At 36.2% G+C, this 15,915-nt stretch overlaps 1 protein-coding gene across 6 annotated transcripts in view; it reads left to right on the top strand.

The window, feature by feature from the left end:
* Positions 1-15,915, top strand: part of SPHKAP (SPHK1 interactor, AKAP domain containing) — a 201,733-nt gene that overhangs the window by 27,646 nt on the left and 158,172 nt on the right. For 3 of the 6 annotated variants that reach the window (XM_006712778.5, XM_006712777.4, XM_011511925.3), the window contains one exon: positions 5,310-5,388. The exons of the other annotated variants lie outside the window; for them this stretch is intronic. In XM_006712778.5, coding sequence (XP_006712841.1) covers positions 5,310-5,388 — 79 coding nt within the window. The remainder of the gene's footprint in view (positions 1-5,309; positions 5,389-15,915) is intronic. 6 annotated transcript variants of the gene reach the window in all.

Here is a 15,915-nt window from a genome sequence, read left to right as displayed (position 1 = left end):
GAGCGAGAGTGAGGAGTCATCAAAGATTGACATCCTATTTGCCATCCTTCTCTATCCAACTACTTCTGATTCTTTCTGGGAAGCTTTTCAGGCAATAGGCCAGTTCTGTCTAATTTAGTCTTTTCTGCTCACAAATATTATTAAGTCTCTCTTATGCTATCCACATTTTTCTTTAAGCCCGCTGGCGCTGTCCTTCTCTGTGTTTTTCCCAACACTGTCAGATAAATGTTAAATGCCTGTGAATTTCTGTTCCAGAAATATGACAAAATTATTCATCAGTCCTCTTGCTGAAAATGACTAAAATTGCAAAAAAAAATTTAACATTTTAAAAGTATTGAAAAGTTGATAAGAAAATAAGGAATTACCAGCTAAATATCATCAGACCACCAAAGATAAACAGAAAATCTTAAATATCAGCCAGAATAAAAGATACATGACCTTTTTAAAAAATAACTAGACTGATACTTGACTTCACAAAAGCAACAATGGAATTCCAAAGATAATAAAGTGATACTTTCAACATGCTGAAAGAAAATAATCGCAGTTTAGAATTCCATATCAGTGAAGAGATCTTGCAAGAATAACTAAAGATATTTTTATACAGACAAAAACTGAGAAAGTTACTTCTCACTGAAGAATATTACACAGGATTTACTTCAAGCCAAAGAAAGACAATCTCAGATATGATGTGTGAAATACAAAAAGAAATAAAAAATGAAGAAAGTTTTAAATATTCAGCAAATCTAAGCAAATAATGATTGTATAAAACAATATTAATAATAACCTGTGGGGTCAAAAATAATAAAAATGTAGGCAATAATGTAAGTTAGGAGGGTGCATTAGTCCGTTTTCACACTGCTGATAAAGACACACCTGAGACTGGGTAATTTATAAAGAAAAAGAGGTTTAATTGACTCACAGTTCCATGTGGCTAGGGAGGCCTCACAATCATGGTGGAAGAGGAAAGGCACATCTTACATGGCAGCAGACAAGAGAGAATGAGAGCCAAGTGAAAGGGGAAACCCCTTATAAAACCATCAGCTCTCGTGAGACTTAAAACCACGAGAACAGTTATAGGGGAAACTCCCTCCATGATTCAATTATCTTCCACTGGGTCCCCCCTGCCACAGACATGGGAATTATGGGAGCTACAATTCAAGATGAGATTTGGGTGGGGACACAGCCAAACCATATTAGGGGAGTTAAAATGTTCTAAGATCCTTGTACTTACCAGGAGGAGGATAAAAATGTTAATTAGTTTTAGAACATAATAAGGTAAGTATACATATTATATTTTTAGGATAACTACTAAAAAAAAAAAAGAAGGTATAACTTCCACACTAGGCCAAAAAATAATAAAACTTGACTAATGCAACTGAAGAAAGAATATAAAGAAGAGATGGGATTGTAGGAAAGCAGACATTAAATGGACCCAAATATATCAGCAGTTACATTAACAGTAAATGAACTAAATGCTGCAAATAAAATACAACGATTATCAACCGGATTTTTAAAAAAATTAAACAAAATAAGATATATTTAAAACATGAAATACTAATAAGTATGGAAAAATATATATCATCCAATGGCTAACCAAAGAAAACATGCAGCTGGGCAAAAGGAACTTTAAAATGGAAAGACATTGCTAGAAATAAAGTATAATGGTAAAGACCTACATTGCCAGCAAGATATGCTATTTTAAGTTTCTATTCACCTAATAAAATTGCCTCAAAAATAAAAATAGCAAAATCAAACAGAATTACAAGAAGAAATTATTCAAAAACTTATAAAGAACTTTGAAGATTTGTATATCACAACCAGCTTAACTTAATGCAACTATATAGAATACTACAACCGAAACCTTTAGAAAGTATGTAACATTTACAGAAATTGGCCATGCATAGTGGAGAATAAAGCAATTCTCAACAAATACCAAGGATTAATGTCATGTGAAACATGTTATCTGAGTACAATACAATTTAAATAGAAATACAGACAAATTGAAAATTTCTAAATGGATAACAAATTTAAAATACCCTTTCACTAGCATGCAGAGCTACAAAACTGTTATGAAAAGTAGAAAGTAATTTGAATTTAAGGATAATAAAAATTCCACATTTCAAAACCTGTAGAATGAAGATAAAGCCATTTTAAGAGAAACGCATATAGTCTTAAAAGTGTACTTTTTAAAAAAAGGCTAAATATAATACTAAATATAATAAGCACCTATCCTCTGAGATTTTAAAAACAACAAAATAACTCCAAAGAAAGTAAAGAAAGGAAATGATAATAAGACCTGAAATTAATACAAGAAAAAATAACCAGCCTTGCAACAGAATGAGATCCCATCACTACAAAAAAATTTTTTTAAACTATCAAATCAAAACCACAATGAGATACCATCTCACACCAGTTAGAATGGCGATCATTAAAAAGTCAGGAAACAACAGGTGCTGGAGAGGATGTGGAGAAATAGGAACACTTTTACAATGTTAACGGGACTGTAAACTAGTTCAACCATTGTGGAAGTCAGTGCGGTGATTCCTCAGGGATCTAGAGCTAGAAATACCATTTGACCCAGCCATCCCATTACTGGTATATACCCAAAGGACTATAAATCATGCTGCTATAAAGACACATGCACACGTATGTTTATTGCGGCACTATTCACAATAGCAAAGACTTGGAACCAACCCAAATGTCCAACAATGATAGACTGGATTAAGAAAATGTGGCACATATACACCATGAAATACTATGCAGCCATAAAAAATGATGAGTTCATGTCCTTTGTAGGGACATGGATGAAACTGGAAATCATCATTCTCAGTAAACTATCGCAAGGACAAAAAACCAAACACCGCATGTTCTCACTCATAGATGGGAATAGAACAATGAGAACACATGGACACAGGAAGGGGAACATCACACTCTGGGGACTGTGGTGGGGTGGGGGGAGCGGGGAGGGATAGCATTAGGAGATATACCTAATGCTAAATGACAAGTTAATGGGTGCAGCACACCAGCATGGCACATGTATACACATGAAACTAACCTGCACATTGTGCACATGTACCCTAAAACTTAAAGTATAATAATAATAATAAAATAAATAAATAAATAAACTATCTATGCATGGTGGTGCTTACCTGTAGTGCCAACTACTGGGAGGCTGAGGTATGAGGATTGCTTGAGCCAAGGAGATCGAGGCTGTGATGAGCCATGATGGCACCACTGCACTCCAGCCTGGGCGACAGAATGAGACCCTGTCTCCAAAAAAAGAAACATAGACTATGGAGAATAAATGAATCAAAAGTTGGTTCTTTGAAAATACAAATCAAATTGACAAATGCCTGGTATCCTTAATTTTAAAAGAGGGGTAGAAGCCCATAAAACAATGATAAAAATGAAAAAAAAAGTAAACATCATTATAGATATTACAGACAAAAGTATTATCAATAATATAACATTATTAAAATGTTATGTTGATACATAAAAATAAGATTTAGATAAAACAGGCAATTTTGAGTACAAATATAACTTACTAAAGTAACTCAAGAAGAAATGGAAACCACGAATAGTCTACAGACATTAATTTGATTCTGTGATCAAAAACCTTCTAACAGAAAATTTCTACTCCCAGATAGCTTTGCAGGAGAATTCTGCCAAATATTTGATAAATAGGTAATTCCAATAGTATACAAATTCTCCCAGCAAGTAGAAAAATAGAAATGTCCTGAATTAGCTTGACAGGGGAACAAAGGAAATATAGCAAGTCTCATTCATGATCAAAAGAACAGCTGCCCAACCAAAATATTAGAAAGTTGGGTTCCACAACGTGTGAAAAAGATAATATTGTTATAAAACTGAGTTTATCTCAGGAATTCAAGCCTGGTTTAACATTAGAAAATCAACTATTATAATCAATCAAATTAACAAATAAAATTAAAGCACTAGAAAACCACAGACAGACAAGAACTTCCTTAACTTAATAAACAGTATCTACAGAAACCTGTAGCAAGCATAATACATGGTGGTGTAACTTTAAGGATTTTTGCATTACTCTATTCAACATTTCCTGAAGGTCCTAGCCAAAGCAGTAAAGCAAAAATGAGAAACAAACAGTAAAACATTTAGAAAGGAAGAAACCAAATCTGAGCATTTCCAGTTTATTTGATTGTGTACATAGAAAATAAAAAAATAATCTGCAGATAAATTATGCATTATTAGACTGAATAAATAAATTTAGGATGTTTGCTGAATATAAATCAGAAAATTTACATAAATAATTTTTCATATGAGTCACAAAAAAAGGGAAAATTTTAAAAAGGAAACCATTTATAATGTTATCAATAAATGTGAAATTTCTAGGAATAAATCTAAAAAAAGCATGCAAGACCTTTCCAGAGAGAATTATAAGTGGCTTAGATTGGAGATCCTCTTCTGTGACTACAGATGGTTGCTCCTTCTTCCCTAATGCTCTCTTCCCCAATCCCTCCACACAAGGCAGGTATCCTGCCTTTATGTCTCTGATATTTTACTACCTTAGTTCTTCTCCAGCATTCTCATTCACACAGTAAAATCGTATTGAATTCTAATGATTTACCAGTGACTATCAGGCAATGAGATGTAAAGATAATTTCACTGACTACATCTTATTCACTTCTTGCTTCTATATACATTGATATCATTGATTTTATTTTTTCATAATTATAATGACTTTTTAGCTTTTGAGATTTGAAGTAATATCCTATTGATCTGCATGATTTGCATTGCAAAAAAGAACTAGAGCATGCCTTACAGGTGAGCATTGTGTAGAGACTTAGTCAAAGTAAACAAGTCATACAAAAAAGCTGAAATAAATGTTCATAAATTATGTGGTCTTAAAATTCTCTCTATTAGAATATTAAGCCTGAGAAACACAAAGTGTGTTTCTTATCTAGATATTCATAAAACAAATTGGAAGGTCCTGAAAGTTTTATCCACATGATGTAAATTACCTCTTTAATGCATCAATTATATGAAGCTCAATCAGACACAAATCCAGCGTATTACCCAAGACAGATGTTATCTGGAAATATATTTGCAAACTTTCAACTCTTTCCTGAGTTTTAACAAAATGATTACATCTTCACCATCTAGCTACTTGTGTTCTTTTTAAAACAGCCTGGTGAGATCTGCATCTTTCCTCTTAAATAATACTAAAACTTGTGTTTCTTTTTTTCCCCCTACCCTCTCCTCTCTTGCTTCCTCTCCAAATCTGCTGGTGTTTGTAACTCCCTTATTGTGGGTGTGGTCCTCTCCGTCAGCCATGTGGGTAGTTGAACCAAACTCACCTACCTGCCTCTCTGCTGCCTTGCCCACCAGGAGACACTCCCAGGAATCCAGGTTGGTTGTGGGGTGTGGGGTCCAGGGGATTATAAAGCCAAGTCGTGATCAGGGCCTCCTCTTCCATTCCAGCATCCCATGAGGCCTCTGGGATCCCAGGTCTCAGGTTTTGGCCCTGTCCTTGCAAGCGTCCTTGTTTAGGGCACTTCAGCCAGACAGCAAACTGTGCTGCACACCTTCCCTCTTCTTTACCATCAAATTTTACCCATTCTGTGGCCAATTCCCGATCCTGCTACCTTCTTCTATCTTAGATGACTGTAAGGAATTAGGGCTTTCAGCACAAGACTAGACAGGTGGCAGACATTTTTAGTTAGGCAGAGCATTCCTCTTTCCTCAAATGTCAAAAGGAGGATGGTTTTCTACTTGCATGGAAACCTAGGACTGGCAGTGTGTTTGGGGGATACCCCTCAATGACCCAAGTACCCCTCTTCTCTCAGCAAGAGTAGCCATACAACCTGGTGCAGCCAGAGAGGCAGCTTCTTATGCTAACCCTCACTCCTGTCTGCATTGCTCTTCTCTGGGCTCCAGTATCTCAATAAAACGAGAGCACCCCAAAGAAAAACAGTTCTAAAGACAGTTAGTATGGGACAAAAGCACGTTGTATTCTGTGAGGACAACAGGGCATCCAGGAAAGAGCACAGGCCGGAGTCAGTTTCGTCTAGGTTCGGATTCCAAATTAAGCCTCTTGATTAAATGCAACTGAGTAAATCAAATTGCACTTGATTAAGTGCACCTGAGTAAATCAAGTTGCACTTGATTAAGTGCAACTGAGTAAATGCTAAGCCTGAGTCTCAGTCTCCTTAGAAATGTAATAGTCAAATAGCACCTCCCCTACTGTGATGCTGTGGGGATTTAAAGTGGCAAATGTAAAAATCCTGTCACAATGATTGGGGCAAAATAGGTGCTCTATAAAGTATGTTTATTACCATTGACTGAAGTTATCTCCCTTCGGTAACAACAAAGCTTGTAAAGTGAATCATATGAGTCCCATTTCACAGATGAGGAACCTGAAGCTCAGGGAGATTAGGGAATTTTCCCAAGGTCGAACTCGTAAAAGTGACAGTCGGGACCCAAGTTCCAGTCTTCTGACTTCTGCATAGTAGTATCTTCACCACACCTTATGGCATAAGAAATGTTCAGACTTTGACATATTTATATTAACTGCCAGTCTTCTCAGGTGGCATATGTATTTAATGTGTAGATACTGTTATACATTGCCTCATTAATTCTACTGGTTTTAAATATTGCAATTGTAAACTATATGCATCTTGTATTGATTTTTAAAAAACAGAAATTATGAGATTTCCACTCACGGTTTATATGTATGATTTCTACTTATCTGATAGATTCACTAACATTGGTATCTCAGGACTATAGACTCTCACAGACAAAAGCATGGAGTTATAATTAAAAGATCATCTTTATTAACTTACTTAAAGATAAATCACAAGATCTTTTAAGTGGTGCCATTATTGACCCTACCACATTTATGGAGCACTGACTAATTGTCAGGCATTGCACTAAGTATATTGTGGAGTTCAATAGTGAATCAGATATTCTTTTCATCTCAAGAACTAAATAACAAATTTAGAAATAAAATATGGCAATTTTAATTCAACTCCACCTAAATTGGAAAATCCCCCTTCCTTCAATCTAAAATGCAAATGTGCCTTAAGATGGAGATTGGTACATATTAACATTGAGGGGTGAAGATATAATTACTGAATTTTATTTTTATAGATATTGTCTCCAAGAGGAAGAAAATATCCAATTCTTTGTCAGATGCATAAGTAGCTTACTGGCACTATTCACAATAGCTAAGACATGGAATGAACCTATATGCTCATCAATGACAGATTGGTTAAAGAAAATGTGGTACATATACACCATGGAATATTATGCAGTCGTTAACAAAGAACAAGGTCGTGTCTTTTGCGGGAACACGCGTGGAACTGGAGACTATTATCCTTAGCAAACTAATACAGGAACAGAAAACCAAATACTGCATGTTCTCACTTATCAGTGATGAGAACACATGCACACAAAGAAGGAAACAACAGCCAATGGTGTTAATTTGAGGGTGGAGGAGGAAAAGCAGCAGAAAAAATAACTATTGGGTGCTGGGCTTAATACCTGGGTGATGAAATAATCTGTACACAAACTACCGTGACACGAGTTTACCTATGTAACAAACCTTCACGTGCAACCCCAAACCTAAAATAAAAGTTAAAAAAAATAGTAATAAGTAGCTTGCTAGAGGATTTTTAGGACAGTGAAAATACTCTCACTCTGTTTAATACCATAATGGTGGATATATGTGTCACTTTTCCAAACCTATAGAATACACAAGGCCAAAAGTGAGCGCTAATGTGAACTGTGGGTGTTGGGTGATTACGATGTGTCAATGGGTGTTCATCCGTTGTAACAAATGTACCACTATGGCTGGGGATATTGACAATGGGAAGGATGTGTGTGGAGGAGCAGGGGGTACATGGGAACTCTCTGGACCTTCCTGTTAAATTTGCTGTGAACCTAAAATTGCTCTAAACATAGTTTTGAAAAAAAAGAAAACCAAACAATTTCTCTAACGTGAAAGGCAAAAACAAAAGCAAAAAAATCTGAGGGGAGAAAACCTAAGATGAAAAATATGTCTGGGATGTTTGTTATCCGAGGATCATGTAATTAAATATTTTCCAGGCCAATAATTGTAATGAAAAGGAGTAGGCCCACAAGCCACACTTTAGAGGGGTCCCGAGTTTGCCAATTACTGCCCAGTGTAGCCCCATTTACCACATTTTCCAGAGAAGACAGAAACTCAGTCTTTTTTAGGTACATTCTTTCAGTCTTCAATTGTTGGCAGCTAATTTAAAATATTTAATACTGTGCAGGCCAACATGGCTCCCGCTTTCTCAGTTCTGTTTATACTCTCATTGCTAAATGTTTTTGATATAAAACTACTTCTATTTTAAGTTTACTATATTTTTATTTATAATTTTTTAATACCTAACAAGTTGGAAAATGCATTCATGATGGGAATTGTTACCTAAATTAAGTGGAAATAATCTATAATTGTAATGATAGAAACTCCAGGTACATTCTGGAGAGCCATTCATTGAATCCTAATATGCCTGCCAAAATGGGAGCCAAAATCACCTGGGCAAGCTTATCCTCCCAACTCTTTCTTAAGGAATATTCTTTAATCCAATTTCAACATGCTGCATGTTTGGTTCTTCTTTAAAAATTTTTCTACAGGCTTTAAATATTTTCTAAATAGTCCCCATAATATATACTAAATGTATAGAAAATATAGAAAGGACAGTAAATCGAACAAAGGGCTCAATAAATCCTGGAGTCCACTAAAGTAGTTAAAGAAAAATGAAACCAGTAGTATTGGCCATTCTTACACATTAGGAGATTAGAAGATACTGCTTTTAAGAGCATTCCTTTTTGTGGTGTGATGATGTTGTTGTTTTAAACTGTGTCAGAAACTATCCAGCCGGCTCCAAGAGGTTTGGCTCTTGGTTTAAGTCTCATTATCCAGAATCAGTGAAGTGCTCCATAGGATTGTCCAAGTTTGATTTCGTTTCACCACCTATCTGCATATACAACTAGAAATCATTTGACAGCCTCATCCCTCAGAGATATGGGGGAGGCAACACATAGACTCATAAACAATTATCCGTGATAAAGGATCCTTCTCAGTCAGGACTAAAGCTTTTGCCGTGGGATGTTATCTTTGGCTTTAAGGAGTATTTGCTGGCTTTATTGGTTTTGTCACTTTTTCCAATCACATCAGTCCCCTTTACTGTGGCAGCTAAATTATCTGTTATCTTTGGTGGGACCCATGACAACTCATCATCAAAGCAGTAACCTATGTATTAAGATTGAAAATTTCATTTGATTTCAAAGGAAAGCATTATTTAATAATCAGAAAATTTCCTCAGAACTCTTAAGTGTAATAGAATTTCACATTTCCTGTTTGTTCATTTCACATGCCTATTTGTTTATAGGCACTAGATTTCAAAATACCTTTATATCACCCATTTTAAAATAAAGAACTTTGTCTAGTCACAAAATAGTATATATTAAATATATAAAAAATATAGAAAGGGGCAAGAAAAAATATCACAAATAGCTACATTATCCAAAGATAGCTGCTATTAACATTTTCATGTTTCTATATATGAAACTATGTATGTATTTGTTTTAATGAACTCATTGATTCAACAAACATTTCCTGAGCATTTACAATATGCCAGGCATTATTCTTGGACTGGAACTACATCGTGGAAAACCAAAAAAGATAAGTGCATTCATGAAATTTATAATCTATAGAGCATGGGGTGGGAGCACACAAGGAGAGGCACATAAAATAAATAATAAACACAGGAAACAAATACATTCTATAGAACATTGGAACATCATACTGATACTGAGAAAAATAGATCAGGGTGGGAGAGACTGGGCAAACAGAGATAAAGAGGCCTGTGTGGCAATTCTAGTTAGGGGAGTCAGAGGAAGTCTCATTGAGAAGGTGACATTTGAGAAAGTCCTGAAAGAAATAATGAAGTGAGATGTGCAGATCTCAACGCACGGAGCATTTCCAGCAGAGGCAACAGTTAGGGAAGGCCCTAAGACAGCAACTGTGCCTGGCCTGTTTTAGGAACAGCAGAGAGGCCAGTGTGGCCAGAGTGATTCGATAGAGGCAGAAGGCAAAAAGACAAGGTCACAGAGGTAACAGACGGTCCATGCATGCAGGACTTGGTAGTCCGTGGCAAGGACTTACAATTTTGCTTGAAATAAAATGCAGAGCTCCTGCAAGATCTTAAGAACGGAAATGACCTGAATGGCTGGGCATGGTGGCTCACGCTTGTAATCCCGGCACTTTGGGAGGCTAAGGCGGGCAGATCATCTGAGGTCAGGAGTTCGAGATTAGCCTGGCCAACATGGTGAAACCCTCATCTCTACAAAAAAAAAAAAAAAAAAAAAGCCAGGTGTTTTGGCTTGGCATGCGCCTGTAATCCCAGCTACTTGGGAGGCTGTCACAGGAGAATTGCTTGAACCAGGGAGGCGGAGGTTGCAGTGAACCAAGATCACACCACTGCACTCCAGCCTGGGCGACAGAGTGAGACCCCCATCTCAAAAATTAAAATTAAAATTAAAAATAAAAATAAAATTTAAAAGAAAGAAATGACCTGAATGGACTTATGTTTTTATTGTCATTATTATTATTTTAGAGACAGGATCCAGCCCTGTCTCTATATACATATATTTCATAGAGACAGGGTCTCATTATGTTGCCCAGACTGGTCTTGAACTCCTGGCCTCAAGCTATCCTCCTGCCTTGGCCTCCCAAAGCACTGAGATTACAGGCGTGAGCCACCGCACCTGGCCCAGTCTTATATTTTAAAATAATACATTCATATCAATAGTTACATAGTGTAATATTTTGCACCCAACTGTGTTCAGTTAACATGGGAACATTTTCCCATGACATTTTTGAGGGCAAAGGGGCATCATCTTCATGTCTGCATACTAACCTTATCAATGTACTTATTGGTGAATGTATTTCTAATGTTTAGGGTTTTTTTTAATTAAGAATAACAAATTGAATATCTCAGTGTGTAAGTCTTTCGTTTGGTGTCTATCATCTAAAATAGATTCCTCGTGGAAAGCATGGCTGACTAATAGGCATGCACGGATAAGAGTTGTGGAAAGTATGGGCAGGTGGTTTTCAGAAATGTCATATGAATGTGTACTCCCAGAAGCAACATGCAAAGCAACACTCATTTTTTAACTTTTATTTTAGGTTAGGGGGTACATGTGAAGGTTTGTTATATAGATAAACTCATGTCATGGGGGTTTGTTGTACAGATTATTTCATCACTCAGATATTAAGCCCAGTACTCAGTAGCTATTTTTCCTTGTCCTCTCCCTCCTCCCACCCTCCACCCTCCAAAACGCCCCAGTGTGTGTTGTCCTCATCTAGGTGTCCGTATGCTCTTGTCATTTAGCTCCCACTTAAAAGTGGTAAACTGCAGTATTTGGTTTTCTCTTCCTGCGTTAGTTTGCTAAGGTTAATAGCCTCCAGCACCATCCATGTTCTCACAAAAAACATGATCTTATTCTTTTTTATGGCTGATAATATCCCAGTAACATATAATCCTTCTTTTTTTTTTTTTGAGATGGAGTCTCGCTCTGTCACCCAGGCTGGAGTGCACTGGTGCCATCTCGGCTCACTGCAAGCTCTGCCTCCTAGGTTCACGCCATTCTCCGGCCTTAGCCTCCCGTCCAGTAACACCTTATTTTAATTAACAGAATACTATATGTTTTCTTAATTTCAGAGAGCAACAAAATTCATCCCTTCACTTATTTAACAACAAAGATTTCTTAAAATGTACACTCTGCCCAGCAGTCCCTGGGCACAACAGAATGGTGTACACTTATGCTCTTCACATGCAACTACGTTTCTTCTCTCTCCTCTTTTACTCCCCTTCACTTCATTATACTATTTCATATGACTGCCTTTAACTGTAAACGATCAACATGAGCGTCTCAAGCCAGAGTCCCATTCCATGTCTAACCTTCAGTAACATTTCCTTAATTCAGTTCCATTTGGTGGTGTTTGTGATAAGTGAAGCAGGGCCTCCACAGAACCATAACTACCGGAATCCCTAGAGGGAAGGATTTGCCAATCAAATTAAGAAGGCAAACAGAAAAAGAAAAATATACATTAAATACAAATAGTTATTATATATTTTTAATGTAACCATTAAATTTTCTCCAATAAAACTAACATTTTAGCAATACCACTACTTTTCTCTGGAAACACTTTCAATTCATGTTTTTCACTAATATCAGATTAGTCTTCTGTAAGCTTTAGAGCTTTGCTTTAATGATCTCAATATTTTCCCATGATAATTGATATAAAATTGTACGCATGAACAGGCTGCATCTTTGTATTGTCTTAGAATAATTGATTAAATTCTGTGTTCTCTTGGATTTAAAAAAAGCCTTTGTTATTCTTCATTTTATAATCTAATGATAATAGTTAATAGTCAGCAGAAGAATAGAAATTTCTCATTGTATATATTTTGAAATCCTAGCTCTAAGAAAAGTGCCACTATAATAAATATTTATGCAATTTATTCAAAAATGTGCATATATTAATGTTGAATATGAAAATGTGCTGAAAACCTATCAAGGAGACTCTTAAGAGTAAATAGATTTACAGGGCTTCATGTGGTATTTCTCAGTTTCATATTGAGTAATTACCTGTGCTAGGTGCTACGTGACTCCTTTACAGGAAATAGCACCATGAAACCACCACAACCATCTCATGACAAAGCTTCTATTATCATCTGCATTTTACAGATGAGAAAACTAAGGTTTAGAGAGGGTTGAGTAATAGATCCAACTCCATCTCTCTAGTAACTGGTAGAAATGGAATTTGCCCTTAGATTCTTGAATGCCAACACACTAGGAACTGGCTTTATTTAGACTCACTTAGATGACACGGTCACAGAAGCAAAGCACTTAAAGGAGTGTTAGAGATCACAGCGGAAAATAACATGGTATGGTGTCTAGAGCAGCAACTGAAATCTTAGGTCTGTTATTTGGCAGCAATATAATCTTGTCTTATTAGGCTGTTTTTTTGCTATAAAGAAATACCTGAGACTGGGAAATTTATCAGAAGAGATGTTTAATTGGCTCATAGTTCTGCAGGCTGTACAAGAAGCATAACACTGGCATCTGCTTCTGTGGAGGCCTCTGGAAGCTTATAATCATGATGGGAGACAAAGGGGGAGTGGGCATGTCACATGGCAAAAGCAGAAGAGAGCGAGAGGGGGGTGTCATCCACTTTTAAACAGCCAGATCTCACGAAAAGTCAGTCACTATTGTGAGGACAGCACCAAGGAGACGGTGCTAAGCCATTCATGAGAAATCCACCCCCCCATGATCCAATCACTTCCCACCATGCCCCACTTCTAATACTGGGGATTATAATTCAACATGAGATTTGGGAGGGGACACATATCCAAACTATATCACTTGGATTACGTGTTACCCTCATCAATCCTCAGTTTCTCCTCTATAAAACGGGTATAATGAAATTAGTATGTAAAGCACACTATAGAGTGCTCAGTACCTGCCGTGCATTAAATGAGGGTAAATTCTGTTAGAAGTAGTATGAAGAAGATCATATATCAGAGTATCAGAGTGAGACACCTGCCCAAGTGGTTTGATGGAAGAACACGGGAATATGAAGCAATTACGGTAACATACATTCTGAATGTCCCTGAACTACAGTCTAGATTTAGCAGAATGCGGTCATATACATAGTGTGCTTTGACTATCTGAAAAATATATACCTCATTTTTTTTTTTTTTAGAAATAAATAACTCTAGGCCGGGTGCAGTAGCTCACACCTGTAATCTCCACACTTCGAGAGGCCAAGACAGGCACATCACCTGAGGTCAGGAGATCGAGACCAGCCTGGCCAACATGGTGAAACCCCATGTTTCAATACAGAATACAAAAATTAGCCGGGCATGGTGGTGGGTGCCTATGATTTCAGCTACTCAGGAGGCTGAGTCAGGAGAATCACTTGAACCCAGGAGGTGGAGGTTGCAGTGAGCTGAGGTCATGCCACTGCACTCCAGCCTGGGCAAAAGAGCAAGACTCTATCTCAAAAGAAAAAGAAAAAAGAAAAGAAAAAGAAAGAAAGAAAGAAAGAAAGAAAATAAATAAAGAAATAAAGAACTCTAGGGATAAATATTTCTATAGTAACCATCTAGTGGTATTCATGTATAAATATGCACATATTCATGCAAAATTAACTTAGCAGCAGGAATGTGTACTTTCTATCTTACATTAAAATAATGTTTTTATACACATTATTTGTAGGGCACACATTTTGAAAAAATTCCCCCATAGCCTTCATTAAAAAATGAAAGAGAAAAGAGAAAAAGGCTAAGTTATCATGCTCACTTGCTTGATACTTTTTCGGAATGAAGGATTATAGTTGGGGTCTTGGGAAAGCCTGAGATTGTGAAACAGCTTTTAAAGATATAAAACTAGTAAATCTGTACAGCAGTGATCAAACCATAGGAAATAACTTGTTATTGTCTTCTTAATGAGAGATAATATATCAATTTACAAAGCACAGATTGTTCAATAAGTGTTATTTTATATTGTCATATAATCTCCAATAACATTCTATTTGGAAGTACAGCTGTTTTCTTACATTAGGAAGTTTACTATTTGATTGTCTTTTCTAATATAATCCAGATATTTTATATAGTATCTGTTTAAGAAGAGATTTCACATTTTACTGTGTATATCTGATAGATTTAGAGTTGCCTAAATAAAAAAGCATTAATTGAACAATATTCAACATAGTGTTTTAGAGAAAACATTATATTGGCTATTGTTGAAAAAAGATTTCGGAACTGAAAATAGGGAATTTTTCCGCTGTTGATATTTACAAATTACATCTCAAATGAAATAACAATACTAAGTAGTGTCTTTGCTTTTCATCTTCTTTTAATAATCAAGATTGAATTAGAGGATAGCTAAATTTGAGGCCATTCTTTCTTCTAAGAATGGGACACTTGTTTTATGATTAATAATGAATGACCTGTTTATATTTTCTTTATTGCCACTTACCAATACCTCAAAAAGTGAAACCCAAACTCAGGTCTGCAACAACATTTTCACCAATCTGAAGACAAAAAGCCCATCTTTTCTTGAAAAGAAATATCCTTCATTCTTGGATAATACATCACAGTTTCTTGCTACACCATTACAAAGCCCTTTATTTGAAGAATGATGGTTAAAGCAGAACTATAAGGGGTTTTCTTGAAGTTTATTTGGGAAAATAAAATGCTGGGCCCTTTATAACATTATTACTGCCATGGTTATTTTTATTTTACTGGTCTAGGAGATTAAGAAGTCTGGAATTTATTTTACAGCTATGGAGCCACCTTTAAGTATTGAAACAGAACATAAAATGATGGCTTCTAAATATTTTCAAGGTTTGGTAATAGTTTCCTATGACACATTTTCTAAAATCCTACAGAATAAATGAGGATTTTGTAGGTCTTTCAGCTACCAATGAGTTGGTGACATATTTAATTTGCATGAATGACATGACATGTCCAACCTAGGAAAGAAAGAAAAAAAATATAAACTTCTTACCTAGGAGATGAAACCAGAAAAATGTACACAGCAGTAAATGAAAAATTTTGTACTGGATACATATTTAAATTGTTAAAACAGATTTTATGCAAGTTATTGCAGCAGGAGTGAGAGCTGTCGGTGCAGAACTGAGGTTAACTCCTAATACAGCAAGGACGAGTGGAAATTTATACCCCACAGGCAGAGTGAAGGGGTTAGTGAACAGAAAATTACTAAGAGGGGATGTCAACAGCAGGGGATTCTTGCTAAACTGTCCTAACGGGGTGCTTACTAGACAGGCCAAGGACTTAAGTATCAAAAGTGGGCGGATGAGGAAGTTGATCAGAT

Source organism: Homo sapiens, chromosome 2 (assembly GCF_000001405.40).
Source record: "Homo sapiens chromosome 2, GRCh38.p14 Primary Assembly".
NCBI lineage: Eukaryota > Metazoa > Chordata > Mammalia > Primates > Hominidae > Homo > Homo sapiens.
This window is presented reverse-complemented; position numbering and strand designations above follow the sequence as displayed.